The sequence below is a fragment of the Homo sapiens genome, chromosome 4 (assembly GCF_000001405.40).
Source record: "Homo sapiens chromosome 4, GRCh38.p14 Primary Assembly".
NCBI classification, from domain to species: domain Eukaryota; kingdom Metazoa; phylum Chordata; class Mammalia; order Primates; family Hominidae; genus Homo; species Homo sapiens.
The window spans coordinates 189513775-189529290 of record NC_000004.12 but is presented as its reverse complement, the minus strand read 5'-3'; positions in this window follow the sequence as shown (position 1 = coordinate 189529290).

Sequence of the window (15516 nt, the reverse complement as noted above, 5' to 3'; positions counted from 1 at the left end):
ACAAGTAGAATAATGAATTTCAGAGCTCAAAAACAAAGCATTCAAATTAACCCAATCAGACAAAGAAAAAAGAATAAAAAGAAATTAAAAATTCTGTAAGAAATATGAGATCATGTAAAATGGGCAAACATAAGAATAACTGGTGTTCTTGAGGGAGAAGAAAAAGCAAAAAAGTTTAGAAAGTTCATTTGAGGGAATAATTGAAGAAAACTTCCCTGGCCTTGCTAGAGGTTTAGATTTCCAAATACAAGAAGCTAAAGAACTCCTCGGAGATTCATCACATAAAGGACTTCACTAAGACATATAGTTATCCATTTACCTAAAGTCAACATGAAGGAAATAATTCTGAGGGCAGTGAGACAAAAGCATCAAGTAACCTATAAAGGAAAACCTATCAGACTAACAGCAGATTTCTCACCAGAAACCTTACAGGCAAAAGGGATTGGGACCCTATCTTTAGCCTCCTGAAACAGAATAACTGTGAGTTAAGAATTTTGTATCCATCAAAACTAAGTTTCATGAATGAAAAAGAAATGATGTCATTGTCAGACAAACAAGTGCTGACAGAATTTGTCAATAACAGACCAGCCCTGCAAGCAATGATAAAAAGAGTTCTAAATTTTGAAACAAAAGGTTGATATGCACCAGAATAGAACCTTTTGAATGCATAAAATTCACAAAGCCTGTAAAACAAAAACACAGTGAAGAAAACAAAGTATCTAGGTAACAATTAACAGGATGACTGGAACAATACACTACATCTCATTATTAATGTTGAATGCAAATATCCTAAGTGCTCCACTTAAAAGACACAAATTGGCAGAATGGATTAAAAAAATCACAGGTAAAATATCTACTGTTTGAAAGAGACTCACCCAACATATAAGGACTCATATTAACTAAAGGTAAACGAGTGGAAAAAGATATTCCATGCAAATTAAAATCAAAAGCAAGCAGGAGTAGCTATTCTTATATCAGATTAAAACAGACTTTACAGCACAACAGTAAAAAAAATGAAGTTACTTATATGATAAAAGGATTAATCCAAAAAGAATATATTATAATTCTCAACTTAGATCTACCTAACACTGGAGATCCAAGATTGATAAAACATTTACTACTAGACCTAAAAAATGAGATAGACAGCAAGAGAATAATAGTAGGTGACATGATCTAGCTCTGTGTCCCCACCCAAATCTCACCTTGAATTGTAATAATCCCCACATGTCAAGGACAGGACCTGGTGAAGGTAATTGAATCATGGTGGCAGTTTTCCCCATGCCATTCTCATGATAATGAGTGAGTCTCATGATCTGATGGTTTTATAAGCATTTGGCATTTCCCTTGCTTGCCAGTCTCTCTCATGCCACCTTATGAAGAAGGATGTGTTTGCATCTCCTTCCAACATGACTGTAGGTTTCCTGAGGCCTTCCCAGACATGAAGAGCTGTGAGTCAGTTAAACCTCTTTTCCTCTTTGTAAATTACCCAGTCTCAGTATTTCTTCATAGCAGCATGAGAATGAACTAATACAGTGGGGACTTCAATACTCCACTGACAACACTAGACAGATTATCGAGACAGAAAATCAACAAAGAAACAAAGGGCTTAAGCTATCCTCTACAACAAATGGACCTGACAGATATTTACCAAACATACCACCTAAGAACTGTAAAATATATATTTTTTGTCATCAGCACATGGAACATTCTGCAATATAGACCATATGATAGGCCACAAAATAACTCTCAATACATTAAAAAATATCTAAATAATATCAAGTATCTACTCAGACAACTGTGGAAAAAACTGGAAATTAATTACAAAAGGCATCCTCAAAGCTACACAAGTACATGAAAATTAAACAATCTGCTCTTGAATTATTTTGGGGGAAACAATGAAATCAAGATGGAAATTTAAAAATTCCTTGAAATGAAGAATAATAGTGACAGAATTTATCAAAACCTCTGGGATATAGAAAAAGCAGTGCTAAGAGGAACATTTATAGCACTAAATGCCTACATCAAAAAGTCTGAAAGATCACAAATTGATAACCTAGTGTTGACTTCAAGGAACTAGAGAAACAATCATAAACTCCACTCAAAGTTAGCAGAAGAAATGAAATAACAAAGATCAGAGTAGAACTAAATGAAACCAAAACAAACAAACAAAAATAGAGATCAATGAAACAAAAATCTGGTTCTTTGAAAAGCTAAAAAAATGATATATCATTAGCCAGATTAATCATTACTAAAGAAGAGAAGAGATACATATAAACTCAATTAGAAATGAAACTGGAGACATTACAACCAACACCACAGAAATACAAAATATTATTCAAAATACAATGGTCACCTCTATGCACACAAACTAGAAAATTTAGAGAAAATAAATAAATTTCTGAAAACATTCAGCCCTCCTAGATTAAGTCAGGAAGAAATAGATACCCTGAATAGACCAATAACAAGCAGTGAGATTGAATATGTAATAAAAAAATTGCCAAGAACAAAAACAAACACCGTGGTCAGGTGATATATTAGGCCATTCTCTTGCTACTAATAAAGACATACCTGAGACTTGGCAATTTATAAAGGAAAGAGGTTTAGTTGATTCACAGTTCAGGAAACTTACAATCCTGGTAGCAGAGGAAGCAAACACATCCCTCTTCACATGGCAGCAACAAGAGAAACTGCTTAAGAAAAGAGAGGAAACTCCTGATAAAAACATCAGATCTTGTGATAACTCAATATCATGAGAACAGCATGAGGTAACCACCTCCGTGATTAAATTACCTCCCACTGAGTCTCTCCCATGACAGTGTGGAGATTATGAAAACTGCAATCTAAGGTGAGATTTCTATGGGAACACAGCCAAACCGTACTATTCTGCCCCTGGCTTCTCCTATTTCATGTCCTCTAATTTCAAAACAAAATTATGCCCTTTCAACAGTCCCCCAAAGTCTTAGCTCATTCCAGCATTAACTCAAAAGTTCAGGTCCAAAGTCTCATCTGAGACCAGGCAAGTCCCTTCTGCCTATGAGCCTGTAAAATCAAAAGCAAGTTAGTTACTTCCTAGATACAATGGGGGTACAGACATTGGGTAAATACACTCATTCCAAATGGGAGAAATTGGCCAAAACAAAGGGGCTACAGGCCTCATGCAAGTCTGAAATCTAACAGGGTGGTCATTAAACCTTAAAGTTCCAAAATAATCTCTTTTGACCCCATATATCACAACCAGTTCATGCAGATGCAAGAGGTGGGCTCCCATGGCCTTGGGCAGCTCTGTCCCTGTGGCCTTGCAGGCTACAGCCCCCCTTCCAGCTGCTTTCACAAGCTGGCATTGAGTGTCTGTGGCTTTTCCAGGCCCATGGTGCAAGCTGTCGGCAGATGTACCATTCTGGGGTCTGGAGGACAGTGGCTCTCTTCTTACAGCTCTCCTAGGCAGTGCCCCACTGGAGACTCAGTGTGGGGGCTCCAACCCCACATTTCCTTTCTGCACTGCCCTAGCAGAGGTTTTCCATGAGGGCCCCACCCCTGCAGCAAACTTCTGCTTGGACATTCAGGTGTTGCCATACATCCTCCAAAATCTAGGTGGAGGTTTCCAAAACTCAATTCTTCTGTGTGTCTTCAGGCTCAACACCCTGTGGAAGCTGCCAAGGCCTGGGCTTGCACCCTCTGAAGCCATGGCCTGAGCTGTACCTCGGGCACTTTGAGCCATGGCTGGAGCAGCTGGGACTCAGGGCACCAAGTCCCTAGGGTGCACACAGCAGGAGAGCCCTGGGCCCGCCCCAGGAAACCATTTTTTCCTCCTTGGCCCCCAGTCCTGTGATGGGAAGTGCCTCTGTAAAGGTCTCTGACATGACCTGGAGTCATTTTCCTTATTGTCTTGGTGATTAACATATGGATCCTCGTTACTTATGCAAATGTCTGCAGCTGACTTGAATCTCTCCCGAGAAAATATGTTTTTCTTTTCTAGTGCATCATCAGGCTGCAAATATTTCAAACTTTTATGCTCTGCTTCCTCTTGAACACGTTGCCACTTAGAAATTTATTCTGCCAGATACCCTAAATCATCTATCTCAACTTCAAAGTTCCACAGATCTCTAGGGCAGGGGCAAAATGCTGCCAGTCTCTTTGCATAGCAAGGGTGACCTTTACTCCAGTTCCCAACAAGTTCCTCATCTCCATCTGAGACCACCTTAGCCTGGACTTTATTGTCCATATCACTAACAGCATTTTGGTCAAAGCCATTCTACAAGTCTCTAGGAAGTTCCAAACTTTCCCTCATCTTCCTGTCTTCTGAGGTCTCAAAGTCTCTAGGACCTTCCAAACTTTCCCACATTTTCTTATTTTTTTCTGAGCCCTCCAAACATTTCCAAACTCTGTCTGTTACCCAGTTCCAAAGTTGTTTCTACATTTTCAGGTGTCTTTACAGCAGCACCCCATCACCTGGTACCAATTTACTGTATTAGTCCACTTTCACACTGCTTATAAAGACATACCTGAGACTGGATAATTTATAAAGGAAAAAGGTTTAATTGACTCACAGTTCATCATGGCTGGGGAGGCCTCACGAGACATCCAATCATGGTGGAAGGAGAAACAAACATGTCTTTCTTCACATGGTAGCAGCCAGAGAAAGTGCTGAACAAAACAGGGGAAAGCCCCATATAAAACCATCAGATCTCATGAGAACTCACTATCATGAGAGCAGCATGAGGGTAACTGCCCCCATGATTAAACTACCTCCCAGCAAGTCCCTCCCATGACATATGGGGATTATGGGAACTACCATTCAAGATGAGATTAGGTGGGGACACAGCCAAAACATATCAAATGGATTCACAGCTGAATTCTACCAGACATACACAGAAGAATTGTTGCCAATCCTTCTATAACTATTCCAAAAGACAGAGAAAGAGGGAATCCTCCTTAAATCATTGTACGAAGCCGTATCACCCTGATACCAAAACCAAGAAATGACATTTAAAACTACAGACCAATATTCTTGATGAATATAGATGCAAAAATTCTCAACAAAATACTAGCTAACTGAATCCAACAACAAATAAAAAGGATAATACACCATAATCAAATGGGTTTTAGCTCAGCTCAAGAAGGCAGGGGTCATTTAACATACACAAGTCAGTAAATATGATACATCATATGAGCAGAATTTAAAACAAAAACATGATCACTTTAATAGGTGCAGAAAAAGTGTTCAATAGAATCCAGCATTCTTTTATCATAAAACACTCAACAAGCTAGGCATAGAAGGGACTTATCTCAAAATAATAAAAGTTGTGTATGAGAAACCCATATCCAACATTATACTGAATGGAGAAAAGTTTAAAACATTACCCCTGAGAACTGTAACAAGACAAGGATGCCCATTTTCACCTCTTCTATTCAATGTAGTACAGGAAGTCCTTGTCAGAGTAATCAGGCAACAGAAAGAAATAAATAGCATCCACATTGGAAAAGAGGAATTCAAACTATCATTGTTCACTGATGATATGATTATATACTTAGAAAACCACAAAGACTCCTCCAGAGACTCTTAGATTTGATAAGTGAATTCAGTAAAGTCTCACATTATAAATTCAGTGCATAAAAATCAGTAGTACTGCTTGCTATACACCAAGAATGACCAAGCTGAGAATGAAATTAAGAACTCAATCTCCTTTACAACAGCTGCAAAAAAATAATAACAACATACCTAGGAATATACTTAACAAAGAAGGTGAAGGATCTACAAAAGGAGAACTACAAAACACTGCTGCAAGAAATCATAGATGATACAAACAAATAGAAATACATCCCATGCTCATGGATGGGTAGAATCAATATTATGAAAATGACCATACTGCCCAAAGTGATCTACAGATTCAGTGCAATTCCCATCAAAATGCCAACATCATTTTTTCCAGAGTTAGTAAAAACAATCCTAAAATTCACATGGAATCAAAAAGAGCCTGAAGAGCCAAAGCAATCTTAATGAGAAAACAAATCTGGAAGCATCACATTACCAGACTTCAAATTACACTATAAGGCTATAGTTGCCAAAACAGTATGGTACTGGTATAAAAGTAGACACATGGAACAGAATAGAGGACCCAGAGACGAAGTCAAATACTTACAACCAACTGATCAATAAAACATACAAAAACATAAATTGAGGAAAGGACATTCTAGTTAATAAATGGTACTGGGAAAATTGGCTAGTCATATGCAGAAGAATGAAAATGAATCCCTATCTCTCACCTTATACAAAAATTAACTCAAGATGAATCAAATGTTTAAATCTAAGACATGAAGCCATAAAAATTATGAAGATAATCTAGGAAAAACTCTTCTTGACATTAACCTAGGCAAAGAACTCATGACTAAGATCCCAAAAGCAAATGGAATATAAAAAACATAAGCGAATGGAACCTTATTAAACTAAAAAGCTTCTGTACAGCAAGAGAAATAATCATCAGAGTAAACAGATAACCCATAGAATGGGAAAAAATATTTGCAAACTATATGTCCAACAAAGGACTAATATCCAGAATATACAAGAAACTTAAAGAAATCAGCAAGAAAAAATAAATAATCCCATCAAAAATGAACAAATGACATGAACAGACAATTCTCAAAAGAAGATATACAAATGGTCAGCAAATGTGAAAAAAAATGCTCAATATTACAAATCATCAGGGAGATGTGAATTAAAAGCCCAGCGAGACACTACATTCCTCCTGCAAGAATAGCCATTATTAAAAAGTCAAAACACAATAGATGGTGTGGATGTGGTGAAAAGGGAATTCTGATATACCAGTGGTGGAAATGTAAATTAGTACAAACTCTATTGAAAACAGTACACAGGTTTCTTAAAGAACTGAAAGTAGATCTGCCTTTCTATTCAGCATTTCTACTACTGAGTTTCTACCCAAAGGAAAATAAATCATTTTATCAAAAATTCACCTGCATATGTATATTTATTGCAGCACAATTCACAATTGCAAAGACATGGAACCAATCTAAGTGCTCATTGAGCAATGAGTGGATAAAGAAAATGTAGTATATACACGTCATTGAATACTACTCAGCCTTAAAAAAGAAGCAAATGATGTCTTTTGCAGCAACTCAGATAAAGCTGGAGGGTATAATTCTAAGTGAAGTAACCCAGGAATGGAAAACCAAATACCACATGTTCTCACTTTGTAAGTGGGAGCTAAGCAATAGGTATGTAAAGGCATACAGAGTGATAACATAAGACTATGAAGACTCAGAAGGGGAAGGTTGGGAGTGGGGAGGAAAGATAAAAAATATATATTGGGTGCAGTGTACACTTCTCAGGTGATGGATGCACTAAAATTTCAGACTTTACTACTGTACAATTCATCCATGTAACCAAAAACCACTTCTACCCCAAACGCTACTGAAATTTTAAAAAGTACTTAAAAAATTGGGGGATGTTATGGAAGTCAGGGTTATCTTCTGAAGAAGTTACACAAAGACATGAAATTCGGGAAGAGACGTGAGAGCCCGTGGAATATATTAGAATTGGAGATATCATTGCAAACTCATAATTTCTAAAAACATGTAAATGTATGTGCATATGCATATATATGTTTTCAGGGAGCAAAAGGTTTTTCCCTACCCTCTTAGGTTCAGTATCTGGGAGCCTGCAAATTAAACAGATAAAAGTCAGATGAACCTGAAAAAAAAGTTTATTCACATGTCTATAGGAGCTTACTAAAAGTAGCTAGATATATAGTTAGAGATTTATAACAGAACTTACTCAGATAAAGAGAGAAGTAAGCAAGGGCTTCTATGGAAAGAACAAGTGGGGTTTTTTAAGGAAGACAAAGGATTTCTAGAAGAACAAATAGGAGGTAAGAAAGTTCGTGATATTTGTTTATGGAAGTGCATGTGGTCTTTCCATCTTCTTCATGGCCATAAAACTTCCCCAGAGAGCAGTTTATGATAAGTTTACTCTGGGTCTCCTTCCGTGGAGCAAAAACCTCCCCACAGTTATGCAATCTCACTTTCCCAAAGTTTCTGCTTTTAGTCAAACAAGGAAAGCTCCAAAAAGCCTTCTTTCTGTATCTGTTGAATCTCAAATGTCTTCAGTTTAAAATAATCTTAAACCCTGGGACTCTGAATAGGTCCTTTTAGTGTGCTCACATAAAGGTATGTGTATATGCGTATATGGCTGTGTCAATTTTTGTATTTCCTAGCTCTGTCTGCTAAAAGAACCTAGAAGGAAAGATGCCTCACTACCACCAAGAGGCTGGGCTTTGCTCTCTAATATCATTTCCATAAAGAGAACTAGGGATCCTTGGAAGACCTGTTGTTTTTGTGACTTGGGCATGGTAGGTTCAAGGTGAATCCCAAACACCTTGTTATACCACAAAGTAGGATAGTGTTTAAAACAATGGCGGAGGCATACTGCAAGGCATTATCTGAAGGGGGCTCCAATGACCCGAATCTTGGGCGATGTGAGCACCAGAATAAGAATAGTAATGAGTTATAAACCATTGAAAGAATAAGAATTCAGGAGCTCATACAGATATAAAGTGATAAACAGGCACAGAAGTTCCTGCTAGTAATAGAATGCTATATGATGACTGGCAAATGTGTAAGAAGTAATAAAGTTAGAAAAAAACCTTTATTTTGTAATCATCGGAGTAAAGACTGGATCAGGCTAGAATTATCCTTGATAATAAATCTAGGGGGAATATTTTGCTGAGGAATAATGCATTTCATGCCCTTAAAGTGTTTTGTCTACCCACAGACTGCTTATTACTAGCAAAGAAAAAAGAATAATTTTTATAATGGAGAAACCAGACAACAACTTGCTCAGGTGATCAAAATTATCACTAATGTGGACATATGGACACCCCAGATGTGATACTTTGTTTTGAGAGGAACAAAATATACCTCTGTTGTATTCCAGCTGAGAATGCATCGCCTGAATCTAACCATGAATAAACATCAGACAACCCCCAAATGAGAAACATTATGTTTATAAATAACTGGGGCTGTATTTTTAGAAAATGTTAATGTCCTCAAAGACAAAGGATATAGAGATTATTTTTTTTTCCAAATGGAAAGAAACTAAAGAGACATGATAAGTAAACACAATTTCTGATCCTAGAATGGATCCTCAATGGAAGGAAAAAAAATGCTATGAGGCGTATTATTGGGTCAATTTAAAACCTAGTAAAGTGAATGGAAGAGTAGGTAAAACATAAAGATATAACTATACAAAATAAAAATAAATGATTGCATCAACTTACTAAAATTTCAAATTATATGATTTATGTAAAAATATAAATATTAGGACATATAAACTGAACAGTAAAGGTCAAGGTCATAATGAATGTTATGATGTTATGAAACTTAACTGCAAATGATATACATATATACACACACATATATACACATACGTATATACACATATATACATATACACACACACACACATATGTGACAGAGACAGAGACATAAAGATAGAGACAGAACAGAGATTGAGAAAACAAATGAGGCATGATGTTAACAATTAAGTAAATCTTATTAAAGGTGTTTGGGAGTTCTTTGTATTATTCTTATTCTTGTAGCATTTATTTAAATGTGAAACGATTTTCAACTAAAAAAATATAAGTCACTGAACTGAAATTTTAGGGGTTTATTAAAATACCCAGAAACAGTTAAAAAACCTTCCAGGATAGCTAAAAATTAGTTTCTAGTTAAGAAATGTATACAAGTCTTGAATTATTTGCACCTTTCAGCTGGATTTGTACCATATCAAGTAAATGGTTGCTAAGGATTTCAACAGATTACTTTCACCCTAGCAGAAAAGTGAGGGTGGGAGGGACAGGTAGAGGTCATGGAGTAATGAGAGAATGTCCAGTCAGCAGAATAAGAACAGGGCTCTGAGGAAACCCGACCTCAACTCTAAACTCCGGAAAACAAAGAGTCAATCATTGGTGTAATCCAAAGCTGCAGAACATAGAGATCTCCAACTCTTAGGCAAGCTTTCAGCAAATCAAAGATTAGTCTTCAGTCTTTGAGGGTATGAGTTTTTCTCAGTTTCAAGAAAATAGACTCTTCTTTTTAGTGTTTGGTGGAATTTGCATCACCATCTAGTCCTGCTAGATGGTGACATATGAGTACTTCCAAAAGCAAAACAAACAAATATGAAGAATCTCTGATATTATATTTACCATGGTGATATTTTAAAGAGTTTTCCTCACCTCTCTCTCTCTCTCTCTCTCATCTATCTATCTATCTATCTATCTATCTATCTATCTATCTATCTATCATCTATCATCTAATTACTATATAAATAAGCTATTATTTAGGTTTTCTTTCCTTTGTGAGCTGTTGTTTTTTCCAGCCGCATGTGAGTAGAAGGCAGATCAGGATGTCCTACAGCCCCCGAACGCTGAGTATGAACAGGGACCCCCTTCATTCCCACATTTGTAATCTCTCATCTATATTGGCTTTCAAGTGGATTTCAAAGATCATTAAAAAATTGTTCTTGATCAGTAAAATTTGTCAAACTGCATATTCCCTTCTGTAGTTTTCCTTAATGTTAGGCTTTGAGAGCAAAAATAGCCATATGTGGTTGAGGCACTAGAAAGGAAATACAGATAAATTATTAACATTTTTCCTGGTCGGAGCCTGATTCGTATCATTTTGGCATTTCATAACTTGGCATTTTAGTTGTCTTGAATATAAAGTGTTAGACTGTAGAGCTACTCTAAAGATCACCTAGACCTATGTCTTCATAAAATGAATAAATTAAGAACTGGGTGGAAAATTAGGCGTGAGCAAGCTGATTAAACTCACACAGTGACTGATATGAAGCACCCACTCGGAAGGCTTTCTCTGCGCCAGACACCATGCTACATCTGCTGCATCAGAAGAATGGGGCAGCAGATTTGGTTTGTCAAAACTCAGATTACAGAGAGACAACACATCTTGCATGGCTAAGAGAATTGTCCAATCAAATAATCATGGCGTTAAAAATAATTGTAACATGCTCCTATTCCATCCCTTCATTTTTCAGATTAAAAATAAACAGCAACAAATAACTAAAGTCCAGAAAAGTCTAATTGGTTCGTCAAAGTATCATACTTAGCAAAATGACTGTGGGAAAATCACCCTCTTTAAGCCTCAGGTTTGTTAAAAAACAAAGTACAAAGGGATATTAGAAATATGTTAGTTCACGCTTATAAAATACCTAGCGTTCAATTAAGTTTGGCCTGAGTCTGTCTCCATACTTTGAGTTCCTAAGTAAGGACATATAACCCACCTTAGTATGTGAACACACTGGAACCCACCATGGGAGTATATAATTTTGTAATAGATAGCCAGGTCTCAGCCCATCACAGGCAGTCAAGTGATCAGACCATGTGCAAATAAGGCCCAGCTGAAGCCAATCCAGCCGCCATTTCTGTACTTCTGTGTTCTGCCTATAAAAACTCACGTCCCATCACCTGCAGAGCAGAGTGCTCTGAGCCCCTTTTGGTTTAGAGTGCTACCTGGTTCATGAATTACCCTTTGCTCAAATGAACTTTTAAATTTAATTTTTTAAAGCTTTTCTTTCAACACTAGCATAGTACATGACACGTATAAAGCACTCAGTGAGTGTGGATTGTCATTGTTGAAATCATGCCTTGAGTTTTATTAATAGCAATTCTATTTATCTATTGTCCCAGCTGAACGTAGAACCCAAGCCTTCTAACTCAGGTGTGGTGCGTTTCCTGCTCTCCTGCCTTTCCCTGCCACTCTGGGGCCTCGCTTCTTAAGATGCAGGTTTGAGAGCAGGGCCTTCCTTATTTAGGGCAACTGAATTGAAGGAGAAAGCAAGCAAGCCTTGTGAGAGCGAGTCTGAGCTCTAATCAGAGCTGCAGATGTTCTGGATCCAGAGCTTGTCACACCTGGTGAAATCTGGTTTTATTTAAAGTTATGATCAAAGTTCTGCACGGTTCATACTGAGAGGTAGTTCTCTCTCCCATGTGTGCCCCTTGCTTTCTTTTTGCTCAGCTTTAAAACATTTTTTCTATTCACATGAATGTATTCAACAGGCAGATTGTTTCTTGCCTGAAAATTCTTCCCTTGAATGCAAATAACATTTCTTGATCTCTCACAGCTGGTTCAAGAAGTAGGCTTGATGAATCACCTAAAGGAGTTTAAAAAAAAATAAAGAGAAGAAAAACAAATGCAAAACATTTTACAGCCCTTGAATAGCCATTAACAATTTAACTTATGCAAAATATGCTCTGTGTGAGGAACTGCTTAAGACAGAAGCCACAGGTCTTTCTCGTGGGCTATGGAAAGACAAGGTTAGACCTTTGATGCTTTAAAAATGCAGAAAAGCTAAGAGCAGATGACATTTCCATGCCAATCTTGTGAAACAAACATGGGTTAAAAAATCCTTTAAAACCATAATAAATGTTCTGGATAAATCAAAACCTTTACCCTCCTGGCGAGGGAAGGTATTTTTCCAAATTTATGGACTAAAGTCCCTTGCTTTAGGCCTTCTCAATGCTTTTCTAGGGAAATTTGGTACTTATAAAATCCACTAGCAGTCCTCAATTTTATTCACCAATAAAAGCAGCTACTAGTATTAAGTCTGTTCCTCTTTCCCTCAGAGAGGTGTTAGGAGATTGTCAGAGGCTGTAAGCACCTTTGTCAGCAGGCACAGAATGACAGATTTGGCACTGCTGCTGAGGTCACAGGGCTAGGTAACATATTAGTGCACAGAAGTAAAATAGAGAATACACGTGTCCTGCTCCCATGGAGCTTCCATTCCAATGGATACATTCCTATGGCAGGGAAGGAGAACTAGCAGCTTCCAGTGGATGTATTCCCATGGCAGGGAAGGAGAACTAGCAGCTTTGGGGGAACAAACTGCAAAATAACATTTTTATCTAATGCAAATGTCTGCAAGCAATTCTGTGTGTCTTCAAATAATTCAAGGGGTAACTCTAGGTTGACATGTGGCTCTCCTCTCCCAGTGAGGTGAGGATGTGAGAAAAAGAGAGTTGTGAAGGACAGAGGTTGGGTTTCACATTGCCTGAGAGGTGATGAGAAGATAGCAGTGTATGAAAAGAAGGAATGGAAGTGAGATGGGACTCAGGGGGCACAGACTCTATCTAAAGCTGTGGGATTGGAAGGAAATGAACCCATTCACTCACCCATTTCTTCATTCGTTCAGCAAATATTTATCCTAATCATGTTTCTATTCTGATTAAAACTCTCATTTTGTTTTATTTTATTTTTATACCTAGAGTATAAAATAAACTTTCTTCTTGAACTCTCATGGCTACCATAATATGGTCCCTGCCTGATTCCCAAATTCATCCTGTGTCTGTTTATTCTACTCATTGGACACACTTTTCTGAGCCAAACTCTTCCCTGTTGTAGACTGTCCATCCCACCACACCTGCTACACACACAGGCAACACACATTTTCTATGACTGGTTGTTTTCCATCTTTCTGGTCCCAGATGAAGTCTCAACTACTCTGAGGGACCTCCCCTGACCACTCTGTCTAAAGCAGAGATCCCTGCCCCAGTTGCTCTCCATCTCAGCACTCGACTTATTCCTTAATAGCTTTCATCACATGTGTAATTGCTTTGTTTTTGTACATCTTGTGTATGTTTATCTCTAGACCACACACAGCACAAGAGTGACCATGTCCACCTTGTTCCCCTCTCATTTGCAGCACCTGTTGCACTGTCCAGTATGGCATAAGTGCTGAGTAATGAAAGGTTAGAAGACAGAAGGGGGCTGTGGCTGGGATGGTGAATGACAGAGAAGCTAAGCAAAGAACTCTGAGGAATGCAAGTCCTTTTAATGATCAGGCCCAGAGAGATGTCAAAACAAGACTGTAATCATGTCCCAATTCCCTCTTGAGCTATGAATTCATCTCTGGAAACTGCTGCTGCTACAAGTGCCTATAAATTAACCTAATAAGGCCACGCTGGACATAACCCACACCCTACATAACAGTGTGTGGCTAATCACTGATCAACGTATTTTCTGTAAGCCAGTGAGAATTCCTGACAAAGCCCTTTGTATCAGCCCACTCCCTGTCCCCGTTCATTGCCTTTAAAAACCCACTTGTAACTGCTGCTATTTGGAGTGGATATTCAGGGCAACTTGAATCTGTGCTCCCGGGTTGCAGTCCTCAAGTTGGCCCCAAAGATCTCTCCACTTATATTAATTTTGCCTCAGTTTCTTCCCTTTAGGCTGACAAGGCTAATCAAGAAAATAAAAAATCTTACTCTGAAAATCGACGTGTGGCCTTTGTCCCTCAGGGACACAGGCCCTCAGGAGGAGAGCACCCTGCTGCAGGAGGGGGGGGGGGATGGTGGGGGGCAGGTGGGAAGGTAGAGTCAGGTGAGCCTTATACATCAGGGCCCCTAAGTGCTAATTCTGGAAAGAGGTTATTGGTGGTGGGTTCTGAGTACCTGTGACAACAAGGTCTGTCAGTGTAGGTCCTGTTGTCATGTGTGGCCTGTGGGCTATGGTTCATACACACTATCTCCTTTGCACTGGGAAGAAGCGAGAAAGCGATGGTGTTGGTAGACATGGGAATACGCTGAAGTGTGAACGTGCTGGTCTTGGTCCCTGGCATCTCATTGAGCCTAGGCGAGTGCCCAAGTCACCATCGACATCCCTCCAGAGCAAAGTTTCAGCATCCACAATATCCTGTCTTCAGCGAGTGAATCTTGGAAGAAGCCTATTTTACAGTCCCTGTGGAGCCGTCGGGAAGTAAGTGTGCAGAATCCCAGGCTGCGTCCTCCTCTGCTCCCTTCACCCTGCTTGATGGACCCAGGTACTCCTCAGCATGGGCTCCTCTCCCGCCCCTACGGCTCTGCATCCTGTGTGTTGCATGGTAGAGCCTATGACCTTCAGCTCACAGCGTGCAAGCCTGGGGCTCTGAAGAACCTGGAGGTGCTTTCTCCTCCATTCCTTCTGCAGCTCCCCCAGCAAGCTCAGGAGTAGATACGCACATCAGTCCCTAAGACCCGCCTTGGGAACCTGGTGTTTCCAAAGCAGTTATTCAACATAAAGTCTAATAAAGATGGCTTTGGCTTTGACTCGTTGGTAGATGGCTGTGAATTTGGGAAAGGACTTGACGGTAGGCTCCTGTGGCAGTTGCCGTTGCAGTCCTCTTTTCTGTTTCCTAATTTCTTCCACACCTGAGATAGAGACAAGGCCAGAGTTGGGATTCATAGACTCCAAGGCAGCGCAGTGACACGGAGATGCTGGATGAATTTCATAGACTATAGCATCATCATAGTGCATCTACCTTGGAACAAAGAAAGAGGCTGCTCTGTGAGAAGAGAGGGCATAGGCTCTGAGGCTCATGACTCAGCCCGGCTCTTGTGTAAAGAAGCCAAAATGCATTGGGAAGAAGAAGGAATGCTGTCCTGCTCTGCTGCATTCAGTAAAAACGAATCTGCATAAGGAGGGTCTGAGAAAATGCTTCTCTGGGGACACCCG